The following is a 12,995-nucleotide window of genomic DNA, read 5'->3' on the forward strand; positions in this document are numbered from 1 at the left end:
CACACCGGCCGCACAGGCCGCACACGCAGCGGGCCGTGCAATTCCACATGCGAACACCCAGGTGCACACGGACGCAGGCTTCGGCCGCCCCCCGCCAGCCCTGCCCCAGGAGGCAGCCGTTCCCTGAGCCTCGCCCGGGAAGAGGGGACAGCCCCTTCCAGGCCCAGGGCTGGGGGTCCCAGGTCTGCCGCAGCCCCTCCCCCGGGCCTCGCTCTGCCAAGGAGGGGTCCTGAGCCCGGGATGTGCACGGGGGCGGCCGGCGGCTGCAGAGATGGGACAGCGCAGGAGCTGAGCGCAGGAGCTGAGGGGGTTCGCGGGGCCAGGGAGGGGCGTCGGCGCCGAGGGGGCAGGACAGACAGCTGCGCTCAGCCCGGGCTGGGGTGGGGGGGTCATGGGAGGGCCCCTCCCCCATCTCAGGAACCCAGAAGCTCACCCTAGTCTGAGGGAGAGCGGCTCGGGAGGATGGCGGAGGACAGGCCAGACCCCTCCCCCCCGCCCTCGCTTGGTCGGGCGGCCCCAGCCCCGCGGGTCCCCGAGAGTCCCGGAGAGTCCAGACCCAGCGCTGCCGCCGTCCCTCCCCGGCCGGCCCTTTGTTCGGCGCAGAGGCCGCGGGGAGGGGCCTCCCAGGCTGAGGAGGGGGCTGGGGCGGCCGCACGTCTCTGTCCTGCGGGCCTGGAGCCCCCACCCCGACCTGAGCGGCCCCGACCCCGGAATCCTTCCTGCCCGCGCGCTGTACAATCGCTCTCCGGTCTCGGCCCAGCACTCCCGCCGGGGAGCGCCGGCCCCGGACCCAGACCCAGGGGCAGGGAGCCAAACCCGCCGCAGCCAGCCTGGCCGGGGTCGCCGATGGGGTCGCCGATGGGGGTCGCCATGGGGGTCGCCACGGGGGCCCCGCCGGCCACTCACACGTAGGCGTGGTAGATGAACGCCCAGCCGCGCGGCCGCTCCAGCACGTTGTAGAGGAAATTCTGCAGCTTGCGGTAGAAGGCGTTGCGCTTGGGGGGCTTCCCGGCGCCCGCGCCGCCCGCGCGAGGTTTGCTGAGGATGCTGCCGCGCTTGGGGGCCTCGGAGCCGGCGATCAGCAGCGCCCCGTCCCGGGTGGAGTCGGGCGCGCCGGGGTCCAGCCCCACGAAGCCCACCTTCAGCTTCTTCTCCCCGCTCGGGCCGGGGTATACGCCGCCGTTGCGCGACTTCTGCACCATGGTGCCTGGCGGGAGGCGCCCCGGGTCGGGCTCAGGCTCAGCGGGGGCGGAGCGCGGGGGGCGGCGCGGGCCCCAGCCCAGGCCCCCCGGCCGGGAGCCGCATGGCCGAGGCGGCGGTTCCGCACTCCTGCCGGGCTTGGGCCGCGCGCGGAGACGCTGCGGCCACCTCGCTCCGCGCGCACCTCGGCGCCTGGCCCGCGGCCGCGCCGGCTCCGCCCGCCGCCTCGCCCCGCCCCGCGTTAACCCCCGCGACGCCAGTCGAAGGAGAGGGGAGGAGAAGAGAGGGAGGGGAAGGGAGGGGAGAGGGAGGGACGGGGAGGGGAGGGGAGGGGGGAAGGAGAGGAGAGGGGAGGAGAGAAGAGGGAAAGGGAGGGGAGGGGAGGGAGAGGGGACGGGGAGAGGGGAGACAGGAGGGGAGGGGGAGGGGAGGAGAGGGGAATGGGAGGGGAGGAGAGTGGCGGGGACGGGGAGAGGGGAGACAGGAGTGGAGGGGGGAGACAGGAGTGGAGGGGGAGGGGAGGGGGGAGAGGAGGGGGAGTGGGGGAGGGGGAGGGGAGGGCAGGGGGAGAGGAGGGGGAGGCAGAAGGGACCAAGGCCCGCGGGACCAGAGCTCTGGGCTGAGCCTGCCCAATCCCCCGGCCATGTGCACACTGACCCTGCGGTCACCTTTGAGTCCGGTAGTACTAACCAAGTGGACCTGCCTGGTGGCCCCAGCGCTCCTGGGGTCCCAGAGCGGTGCCCAGCCGCCTGAGCAGGACTGGAGTCTTCTCAGCTGGGCCCTGGGAGTGGACGCCTCCGGGAAGGGATGGGGGTAGGGGCTCTCCCCAAGACTCTGTTAGGGCTCAGCCCATGGTGACCTCATGCTCTCGGTGTCAGGGTTGCCCAGGCAGTAGGACCCCCTAGACCCCAGGGTGTGTGCAGGGAGGGTCTGTGGAGGCTGGAGGCACCCTGCAAGGAAAGCAGCCCAGGGGAAAGGGGGTGGCCACAGAGGCCGGGAGGCAAGAAGAGGAGCAAGGGCCATGGGGTGGGGGATGGGAGAGAGTCACTCCTAGAGGGCCTTGAAGCCCCCCAAGGGGCCTGGACTTAGTTATGCAGACCCCAGAAGGGGCCTGTGGCAGGGGCAGGGACTGGAGGGTGGCCCCAGGGCAGCAGACAGGCCAGCAGGAAGCCCAGTGCCACACCTCGGGACAAAGGAGGCAGATCTGTGCCTCCTGGACACAGATGGGACGGTGTTTCCTTGGGGGCAAGTGCGCGGAGGTGGCCTCCCCCCTGCCGGCAGCCATGTGTCCTGGGAGGGGTCCCTCTGGAGCTGCTGCTGGGAGACCAAGGGACCCCTGCGGCTCAGTGCTGCCCGCCCTGTGAGGTGCCCCGCCACTGGGCCTTCCTCTGCACATCCAGGAGGGGTGTCATCTTCGAGTGCGTCTCTGACTACATCCAGCCTGTTTGCACGTTCGCCTGGCACCATGGGTTCTACCCAGAGAAAGGCCCTCTGCTGAATCGCTGGCGCCGTCCTCGCAGGTGACCTGCTCATAAAACAGCCCTAACCCTGGTGCAGAGTGAGCTCTTGAGTTGTGTTTGCCCTTTGGTTTCCAGAGCTAGTGGCCACGGGGCCTGTTTTTGTTGTTGTTGTTTTGTTTTTAACTAGGCTGAATACAGAAGGGTCGGTGCAGGCAGAATGCTAACCTGTACGTTATCCAGGACGTTGGGGATAGACGGCAACTTACACAAGCTTGTGCACATCCAGGGGTACTTTCTGGATCCCCGCCTCCCTGCCTCTGTGCCCACGCATTGGCTGTGATTACCAGCATGAAGTGGGCTTGCCCCAAGCGGCTGCGGTTTCTCTCGATTGTTAAGGGAGGAGGCACCAGCCTGGTGCTTTCAGGGGAGGGAGAGGACTTCAGTATGCAGAAGGAAGAGAGCACCGTGGCATCTCCCTGCACACGCTGGCTGGTGCCGCTGGTCTTTCCCACTCACCAGAAGACCCGAGGGAGCAGCCGTAGCTCAAAATGTAAACCCTGCAGGGCTGGGGCCCCTCATCCTGTGGGGGGAAGCCCCAGACTATCCGGTGCCCCTCGGCAGTGCCCGGGCTACACGTGACCTCTCCTGGGCAAGCAGTCATCTCAGGTTTGATGTCAGAGCCCAGTGGGACCCAAGGTCAGGGCTGATCCACAGAGGATGAAGGAAAAGTGACCCCAGTTCCCGTTTGAGCAGATGCACCAGAGCTGAGATGGGAGCAAGGATTAAGGTGCTCTGGTGTCCAGGACATTGGGAGAGACAAACCTGTTCATCTTATTTTTCAGAAAAAAAAGGGGAAAACCCTGCTGAGGTCTTGGGGAGCCATCGGCTGGCTTCACAGCCTCCTGGGGGTGGCCGAGAGTGGCATCCCCCGTGGGGATGCCGGGCTGGAGGGGCCGGCTCAGGATGCAGGTGGAGCTTTGCACCCTGCAGCTCGCGGTTCTCCCGTCTACAAATGGCGTTGGCTCCAGCAGCTTTGCCACACCTTGGAAGGTTCTGGAAAGTGAATCCTGCATCAAGGCTTGAAAATCCTTGCTTCCTCCTTTGTTTAGGATGTCCTTTCAAAGAGCTAGCTCATTAATCATTTATGTTTTTAATTTTGTGTCTTGCACACCCACGGGCTACATTGTCAGCAATCTGGTTACCCGCATGCCTGCCCCCTGTCCCCTCCTCTGCGCCCAGGCAAAGTGGGTCGTGAAAATGCCCAGTTGGGGTAAATTTCATCCAAGCAGGAGGAATTCCATTTATGTAAAAATAGATGGGAAAAGCGTTCAGGCTCAAACAATCTTTGCCAAGACCGCATCGACAGGACTCCAGAGAGGATGAGCAGAATTCAGACGTACGTGGTGCCCAGCTCCAGCGGAGGAGACAGTCAGTCTTCGCCCAGGCGGCCAGGGCAGCAGCGGATTCCACGCGGGCGCTGTCCCTTCAGCACCTCCAGCACCATCCTCTCCCCGGAACCTGCAAGCCCAGCCCCTTCTCTGGTCTCCTCCAGGCAAGTAACCTCAAGGCCTCCCCAGTGTCCCACGTCACTGGGCTGCACTAAGCGACCAGAGAACATGAAGATTGTACTGCCAGAACTGGCTGCTCCTGCCGATCAAGGCCAGCTCATCTGTCCCCAAAGTCCTCTGGTGGGCTCCCTCCCCAGCAGAAAGCAAACCACAGGGGCTGTGACCGCCTACTGCCCGGGCTCCCCCGGGCTTCCCGAACTGTCCTCCCTGGAGCCTGGCGCAGAGAGGGGCCCAGAGTCAATGGTTGTTGGAGGACAAACTGAAGCACATCTGGGTCACTGCCAGGGAGAACCCACAGGGTAACCCTGCCCATATGGTGCTGGTCACAGAGCAGACTCGGTGCCCTCCAGAACCCACGCCTGTGCTCTCCCTCAGGTGCAGGTGCAGTCCTGCTGGGTCATGACTCCAGTCTCACAGGCTCGGCACTGGAATGGTGGGACCAAAAGTGAAAAACCGAGGCCAGGCCAGGCGGCTCATGCCTGTAAGACCAGAGTTTTGGGAGGCTGAGGTGGGTAGACTGCTTGAGCCCAGGAGTTCGAGACCAGCCTGGGCAACATAGAAACCCTCTCTCTACAAAACTGCAAAAATTATCCAGGCTTGGTGGCCTGCCTGTGATCCTAGCTGCCCAGGAGGCTGAGGTGGGAGGACCGCTTGAATCCAGGAGGTCCCGGCTGCAGTGAGCCATGATGGCACCACTGCACTCCACCTTTGGTAACAGAGAGAGACCCTGTCTCAAAAAGAAAAAAAAATTAAAAATTAGCTGGGCTTGCTAGTGCATACCTGTTGTCTCAGCTACTCAGGAGGTTGAGGCAGGAGGCTCACTTGAGCCCAGGAGTTGGAGGCTACAGTGAGCTGTGATTACACCACTGCACTCCAGCCTGGGCAACAGAGCAAGACCCTGTCTCAAAAAAAAAAAAAAAAGAAAAGAAAAGAAGAAAGAAAGAAAAAATTAATTAATTAAATTCAAAAATGAGGGCTAGGAGCAGTGGCTCATGCCTGTAATCCCAACACTTTGGGAGTCCGAGGTGGGTGGATCATCTGAGGTCAGGAGTTCGAGACCAGCCTGGCCAACATGGTAAAACCCCGTCTCTACTAAAAACACAAAAATTAGCCAGGCATGGTGGCAGGCACTTGTAATCCCAGCTACTCGGAAGGCTGAGGCAGGAGAATCACTCGAACCCGGGAGGTGGAGGCTGCAGTGAGCTGAAATCATGCCACTGCACTCCAGCCTGGGCGGCAAGAGCAAGACTCCGTCTCAAAAAAAAAACAAAACAGGCCGGGTACAGTGGCTCATGCCTGTAATCCCAGAACTTTGGGAGGCCGAGGCAGGTGGAACACCTGAGGTCGAGAGTTCGGGACCAGCCTGACCAACATGGAGAAACCCCGTCTCTACTAAAAATACAAAATTAGCCGGGCAGGGTGGCGCTCGCCTGTAATCCCAGCTACTCGGGAGGCTGGGAAAGGAGACTCACTTGAACCCGGGAGGTGGAGTTTACAGTGAACCGAGATTGCATGATTGCACTCCAGCCTGGGCAATGGTGCGAGACTCCATCTTAACAACAAAAAACAACAACAAAAAAAACAAACGAACAAAAACCCCAGGAAACCAAGCATGGGTAGTGACTTGAGAGGCATATGAGCTTCCTCTGGCCGCCCTCCTGTGTGGGGCCGTCAGCAGCGGGATCGGGGAGGCGGGGACTGCCACTGTGAGTTTGTGCAAGACGGCTACATGGTGCTGGTGGCCCCCGCGGGTTGTGGCCCCTGCTAGAACAGGCCAGATTTTATGCTCTTTTGACGCTGTGCTGTCATGGGTGGGATCTGTGCCCAGGTGCTCAGCTTCACCTGCGTTCTGAGGGCCTCGGCACCAGTGACAATAGCCCCTGCGGACACTGGAAAGCAGGGCCTCCCAGGCCACCACCCCGTGCCTCCCAGTGGAAATGGAGGGAGCTGCTTCCCCGTCACTGCGCCTTCAGAAAAACAGACGACCCCACAGAGGCCTGGAGGAACAAGATTTAATCTGGGGAAATGAGGAGATGAGGAGAGACAGGTTCTCAGTCATCTCACCTGGGCCCGTGCCTCCCGGTGGAAACGGAGGGAGCTGCTTCCCCGTCACTGCACCTTCAGAAAAACAGACGACCCCACAGAGGCCTGGAGGAGGAACAACATTTAATTTGGGGAAATGAGATGAGGAGAGACAGGTTCTCAGTCATCTCACCTGGGCCAGAGCTGCTGCGGGTTTAACCCTGTAATTTGGGCGACAGGAAGTGCCTCCCCAGACAGGGAGGCCCAGCCCCCCCAAAGGAATTTTACATTATTAGGAGGAGGAAAGGCTGTATTTATCCGCTTGCGGGGGAGCAGGGGAGTGAGGAAAAGATTTAAGATATGAAAGCATTGATTTTTTTTAACATCTTACACTAAAGTCAATAAAAATTTAATTTACAGTTTTTTCTAAAGGACCAAGGCTCTCAATAAGCTTCCCTAGCCCCTGGCAAGCCGGCTAATTGCATGAGGGAGTTGACTTGTACTTCCCAGCCACCAATAATACCGTCAATTGAGGAGCCCGTGGTCAGCTGTGACGGCTGGGGAGCTACGGTGGCTCCGGAGGCATCCGGAAAGGGCAGAAATCCACCTGTAGCTCTGGGACCTCGAGGGAACTCTCTGCTTGATGCTGTGCCGTGGCATCCCCAAACCCCATATGTTGTCATCTCTGGTCCACAGGTGTCACAGGTGGCCTCCCACACGCCCCCTCCTATGCCTTCAGGCAAATGGAGAAGCTGTGGCAATCGTCCCCGTTCTGTGGCAGATATATCGTGAGGAACGCAGGCGCCACGCTCACTCGTGGGAGAGACCAGGCCCCACCGTGGATCTACACATCCAGACTCCCTGGCACCTCGACGCTACCCAAATGCTTTCCTCATCAAGGCCTCCTCGCTCCTGAGACCTGGCCCTGCCACACGCTCCAAGACCACCGACCCCTCTGCCCCCGTCCTCCCTTCCTGGGCACACGGCCACCCCGACATCCCTGAGCAGGCAAGGAGCTCTTGCATTTGCTGTCTCCTCTGCTCACCAGGATGGCAGACACTGCTTCTTCTCAGGGAGGCCCTGGCGCGGGGTCCCCTCCCCACCTTCTCTGGAGCTGGTCCTCATCCCGATGGGAAACTGTTTTGCCTGGCGCTGCTGCCCCACTGCACAGAGCGCACAAGGTGTGGGGGGAGGGGTGGGCACAGACACTCACAGCCCCACCTAGCCCAAGGAAGGTGCATGTCAACCTGTCAGATGACAGATGGCCACTTTGACCTGGGGCTGGACGTCGCTGGAGCCCCCAGCCAGATGTGGCCTCAGTCACAGGCCTGGGGCTTGTGTGGCTCAGGGCTGCCGGGGAGACCCCAAGAGGACATGGGCAGCTGGAGCTCAGGACTAGCGGAGCGGCCAGACGTCCTGCCCATGCAGGCTGCATCTGTGCCCTGGCTGCCCACCCACCAACGTCCTGCCCACGCTCACCAGGGCCTTGCTTGGCCAGATGTCCAGTAGGCTTTGGGCGGGGCCATCCAGCCTTGGCAAGGCCCATGGACTGTCACAGCCCTCCCCACCCCACATCCAGGACAAGGTCATCTAGCGCCACACCAGGTGGATGGTTCAGAAAGGCTGGGTTCTCCAAGCTGCACACCAGAGGCTGCACAGAGCTGAAGTCCGGCGAGTCCCAAGGCTCCCAGGGCGGCCCGCTGCCCCACACCCTCCGGCAAACACGAAGGCGCCACCCTCGGCACCCAGCAGCATCTGCCTCAGCCCCTGCAGAGGGCGGCGCTGGTGTGGGCTGCAGAGAGTATGGCCCGCAGGCAGCCGCCATGGGCCTGCCCGAGCTGAGTGGCTTTCAGCAGACCAGGCGGCCACTCAGGCCTGCGTGGACTGGATGTGTCCCCAGAATCCACATGCTGAAACCCTCACTCCAGTGTGATGGTGTTAGGAGAGGGGGCCTTTGGGGGTGACTGGGTCAGGAGGGTGGAGCCCTCGGAAGAGGACCAGCACCCTCAGGGGAAGAGACACGGGCGCTGGGTTCCCTTCTCTGCTTCGTGCCATGTGGGGACATGGGAAGGCATCGTCTGCAAGCCAGGAAGCCGGCCCTCACAGAACCGAGTCTGCCCGCTCCTTGATCTTGACCTCTGGCTTCCAGAACTGTGAGAAATAAATTTCTGTTGTTTAAGGCACCAAGTCAAAGTTACTCTGTTGTAGTTGCCCAAGTGAGACAGAACCTCATGCTACCCAGACAAGTGGAGAGAGTCAGCCCCCACCCCACGGGAGGGTGGGGATGGGAGCGAGACAGCGAGAGCCTTATTCTGAGAGGGCGTCAGGAGGAGGGCAGGAAGGTGCCCAGGTGAGTCAATTTCCCGGCTTGGACACGCCCCTCTTCCCTGGTCTCACACAGGAAGGTGCCCAGGTGAGTCCAGTTCCCGGCTCGGACACGCCCCTCTTCCCTGGTCTCTCTCGGGAAGGTGCCCAGGTGAGTCCAGTTCCCGGCTCGGACACGCCCCTCTTCCCTGGTCTCGCACGGGAAGTCGCCCAGGTGAGTCCAGTTCCCGGCTCGGACACGCCCCTCTTCCCTGGTCTCGCACGGGAAGTCGCCCAGGTGAGTCCAGTTCCCGGCTCGGACACGCCCCTCTTCCCTGGTCTCGTGCGGGAAGTTGCCCAGGTGAGTCCAGTTCCTGGCTCGGACACGCCCCTCTTCCCTGGTTTCTCACAGATCCTCCCACTGGTTGAATTGAAGAGAGCATGATGTGTCCATCCCTGCGGCTCGGACGAGCTGGCCCCATCCTGGAGACCAGCCTTTTGCTTAATCACACTTCCTGGCATCCCACCTACAGAGATGAAATCCATTTAGGTCAATTGCTCTCACCCAGGGGTTTTGTTCCCAAGGGAGCATCTAGAGAGTCTGGAGACAGTTTTGGTCGTCACAGCAGAGGGGCAGATGGTATGGCATCCAGTGGGTGGAGGCCAGGGGGGTGGGGGGGCACCAAGCACCCTGCAGGGCACAGGGCAGCCCCCACAGAGCACAGCGTCATCCAGCCCCAATGCCAGTCATGCTGACATTAAGAAAACATGGTGTAAGGCCAGTCACGGTGGCTCACACCTGTAATCCCAGCACTTTGGGAGGCTGAGGTGGGCGAATCACAAGGTCAGGAGTTCGAGACCAGCCTGGCCAACATAATGAAACCCCATCTCTACTAAAAATACAATAAATTAGCTGGGCATGGTGGTGGGTGCCTGTAATCCCAGCTACTCGGGAGACTGAGGCAGAAGAATCGCTTGAACCCAGAAGGCGGAAGTTGCAGTGAGCCGAGATCGCGCCACTGCACAGCCAGGGCGACGGTGCAAGACTCCGTCTCAAAAAAAAAAGAAAACATGGTGTAAGTTAACAATGTCCTTTCTTAAAATGCAAATAGGACGGGTGAGGTAGCTCACACCTGTAATCCCAGCACTTCGGGAGGTCAAGGTAGGTGGATCACCTAAGGTCAGGAGTTGAAGACCAGCCTGGCCAACATGGCAAAAACCTGTCTCTACTAAAAATACAAAAATTAGCCGGGCGTGGTGGTGGGCACCTATTATCCCAGCTACTCGGGAGGCCAAGGCAGGAAGATGGCTTGAACCCTGGGAGCGGAGATTGCAGTGAGCTGAGATCGTGCCATTGCACTCCAGCCTGGCGACAAGAGCGAGACTCCGTCTCAAAAAAATAAAAATAAAAAAAAATAAAAGCAAATAGTTCTGGTATGTTAGCCATTCACATTTTAGCATGAAACAGCATAAATAAATGGACTTCCTCCCAAGAGTTCCTGAATATGTAAGCCAAGGGCTGAGAATCTTCTTGAGAAAGGAGCCAGGAGTCCGGGCACTGGGTGGGGGAGCACCCAAGGAGTGAGGTTGGGTCGGGGCAGCAGTGGAGTTCAGCAAAGGAATCCTGGGCGTTCTGCATTGCTGGTTCCTAGCCTGATGGAAAAATGCTGCTTTTACATCATCGCAGGACACTGGAGCCATTGCTGTGTTTCACTCACTGTGAGCTTAGTTTGTGTGGCTCTGGGCAGCTGCAGGATCTCTCCGCACCTCCGCCTCTTTACCTGTGATGTGGGGGTGCTGACCATAGATAGACAATTGCGGTGATGGAGGAAGGGCGCAAGGTTTGTAAAGAGTCTCCAGCGGTGGCAGGAGGAGGCGTCACGTGAGCGGGAAGGTGAAGATGCTGAGTCAGCTCCTGGCTGCCCCATGGGTACCGCACCCCGCTGTGTGCCACCCGCCTCACACCCAAGATGAAGGCCTGGGTGTCGGGAGATGCAGAGTAAAGACAGAGCAGTGGGAGGCAGTTAAGGCCCCTAAAGTGCCAGAAACCCCCACCCCTGGAGGCAGCCACAGCCTCTGGGGAGGGCGGGGCCACAGGGACCCTTTTATACTTAAAGGTTCCTCCCCACACCCTGAAGGGTAAAAGGTTTACAGAGACTAGGAAATGGAGAGAGGAGATCTTACAGCCTCCCACCGTGGGACTCAGTGGATTTCTCCTTCCCCCTCGCCCGTTCCCTCCAACTGCCCAGTTCAGCACCGCCCCCTCCCCCCAGGCAGCTGAGCCCTGGAACCCCACAGCTGGCAGCTCGCTTGGCCTGACCTGGCTTCAGACAGTGGCTGGCAGGATCCTCATAGCCAGAGCCTGGGGCAGAACTGCCAGCCCATGACAGGCTGTGTGGCAGAGCCTGGGGCTCCTTCCCCCTAGATGTTCAGGGAGTGGGCAGGGCAGGGGGCGTGGGTTTCTGCCCCTCCAACCCCTCCAGGCTGGTCCTGCCTGGGAGCTCTGCCTCCTGCCACACCCACGGCTCCAGTCCTGTCCCTGCAGGAGGCCCGCAGGCTCTTAGGAACTGCTGTCCTGCAGCAGGAGGCCTGCAACCAGGCCCCACGTCTGGGCAGGGGGTCCAGGGGCAACGGCTTCCTTCCTGCTCCCACCCCACACCATCCAGGGCCCAGACCCTCTCTCCCCTCCTCTGGGTGTTGGTGCCTCCTGCCCCTGCCTCGGAGCCCCCACAGACCAAGCCAGGGCCCTGATTTGGGGCCGCTGACCCCACCTGCATCTGCTCTCCATCCTGGAGCTGTTCTCAGCCTCACACATCCTCCTCAGGGTCTTCCCCACCTCCCCCAGCCGACCCCCAAAGTAAGATGCCAGAGCGGCATGAAGCCAGGAAATAAGCCAGACCCCACAGCTCCTCCAAAGACCCCTGACGCTCCTGGTTGACCCTCTCATGGGGACGGGGCTTCTCTCCCCTCAGCAGAGCCAGGAGCTGCCTCAAGGCCCATGCACCTGCCAGTCCAGCCTGTCCCCCGGGCTGCCTTCTCCCTCCCTGGCTTCTGGATAGGGACCGTTGCCCAGTGCTTCCTGAGTCCAGCCACCTGGTGGGCACCCCCAGAGACTCAGCCCTGACTCCAGGCGGCCAGCCGGCAGCACAGGTACAGCCGGATGCCCGACACACAGACATGCAGGCACAAATGAACAGACGCACGAGCACATACATCCTGACCGTTTCCAGGGGCTCCAGGACACCCCGCCAAGTTCTCCCCTGCACCCCACACAGCCACCCACAGGTATGCACAGCTCACCCAGGTCACACACACGCACCAGGGTATGGATGTAACCCTGTGCCTGCAGCCCCACTCCGGGACACACTAAGTCACCCACAAGGACAGTCATTCCCACAGTCACAGCACATGGGAAATCCCCGGGGTCCCATTGTGGAGGCCTGACCGGCTGCCGCAAAGCCCAGCCCCTTGGCAGGGAGCCCAGAAGCCGCTGCTCAAACCCAGGACTGCCAGGGGCACCCAGGCCCTTCCAGCCACGCTGGGAACCTGCACGGGGTGGGAAGGTCCTTCCCGCCTGGGTTACAGGAGGGCACCGGGAGCCCGGGAGAGACAAGGGCAAGGGACAGATGGCATTCGGCCACTCAGCAGGGCCCCACAGCCTCTCGAGGCCTCAGGAATTTTTCGGTGACGTGCAAAGTGCAGACCAAAGCCGCCAACAGGGCGTCTTGGCGGACTCTGTTTTAAATTATTCACCAACCCGGCCGGGCGCGGGGGCCCACGCCTGTCATCCCAGCACCTGGGAGGCCGAGGCGGGCGGATCCCGAGGTCAGGAGATCGAGACCATCCTGGCTAACACAGTGAAACTTCGTCTCTACCAAAGATACAAAACTTAGCCGGGCGTGGTGGCGGGCGCCTGTAGTCCCAGCTACTCGGGAGGCCGAGGCAGGAGAATGGCGTGAACCCGGGAGGCGGAGCTTGCGGTGAGCGGAGATCGCGCCACCGCACTCCAGCCTGGGCGACAGAGCGAGACTCAAAAAAAAAAAAAAAAATTATTCACCAACCCAAGTAGGGTGGAGCTCCTTCCGCCACCCATGCCCTCCCTGACTTCAGGACCTGCTCTGGGGCCTCAGCGGCCCCAGGACTGACCCTGAGTCCCAGTGGCCGCCAGTCAGAGCCACTCTCTGGGCCTTGGCGCCCCCTTCAGCCAGACAGCAGCCCAGGTGTCCAGCCAGCTGCAAGCATCCATCAACACCCCGCTGGGGCCCTGAGGCTGCACGGTCCCACCCTTGCAGGGCTCCAGGGCACTGTCTGCCTGTGGTCCCCTGCCCTCACCCCGGCCACCGCCCTCCAGCTGTCCTCAGGCTCCCCAAGCCGACACCCACGGAGCGTTCTGTCCTGACCCCAACCCCAGTGAGCTCTGCCCCCCCACCCCCCTACCCCC

At 61.3% G+C, this 12,995-nt stretch overlaps 1 protein-coding gene across 12 annotated transcripts in view, besides 3 other annotated features; it reads right to left on the minus strand.

Moving 5' to 3' along the window:
• Window positions 1-1,394, minus strand: part of KCNQ2 (potassium voltage-gated channel subfamily Q member 2) — a 72,448-nt gene extending 71,054 nt beyond the window's left edge. For all 12 annotated transcript variants that reach the window (NM_001439004.1, XM_047440144.1, NM_004518.6 and 9 more), the window contains exon 1: window positions 907-1,394. In NM_001439004.1, the coding sequence (NP_001425933.1) occupies window positions 907-1,202 (296 nt within the window). In that variant the 5' untranslated portion in view covers window positions 1,203-1,394. The remainder of the gene's footprint in view (window positions 1-906) is intronic.
• Window positions 4,226-4,426: a silencer, noted in NCBI's record as "peak4318 fragment used in MPRA reporter construct". NCBI's record gives its function as "represses an SCP1 promoter by STARR-seq MPRAs in K562 erythroleukemia cells {active_cell/tissue: K562}" and the evidence as "EXISTENCE:reporter gene assay evidence [ECO:0000049][PMID:32103011]".
• Window positions 6,724-7,536: an enhancer, noted in NCBI's record as "H3K27ac-H3K4me1 hESC enhancer chr20:62109338-62110150 (GRCh37/hg19 assembly coordinates)". NCBI's record gives its function as "activates a minimal SCP1, AML or CMV promoter by ChIP-STARR-seq in naive H9 embryonic stem cells {active_cell/tissue: H9 hESC(naive)}" and the evidence as "EXISTENCE:reporter gene assay evidence [ECO:0000049][PMID:30033119]".
• Window positions 7,537-8,348: an enhancer, noted in NCBI's record as "H3K27ac-H3K4me1 hESC enhancer chr20:62110151-62110962 (GRCh37/hg19 assembly coordinates)". NCBI's record gives its function as "activates a minimal SCP1, AML or CMV promoter by ChIP-STARR-seq in naive and primed H9 embryonic stem cells {active_cell/tissue: H9 hESC(naive and primed)}" and the evidence as "EXISTENCE:reporter gene assay evidence [ECO:0000049][PMID:30033119]".

The sequence above is a fragment of the Homo sapiens genome, chromosome 20 (assembly GCF_000001405.40).
Source record: "Homo sapiens chromosome 20, GRCh38.p14 Primary Assembly".
Classification (NCBI taxonomy): domain Eukaryota; kingdom Metazoa; phylum Chordata; class Mammalia; order Primates; family Hominidae; genus Homo; species Homo sapiens.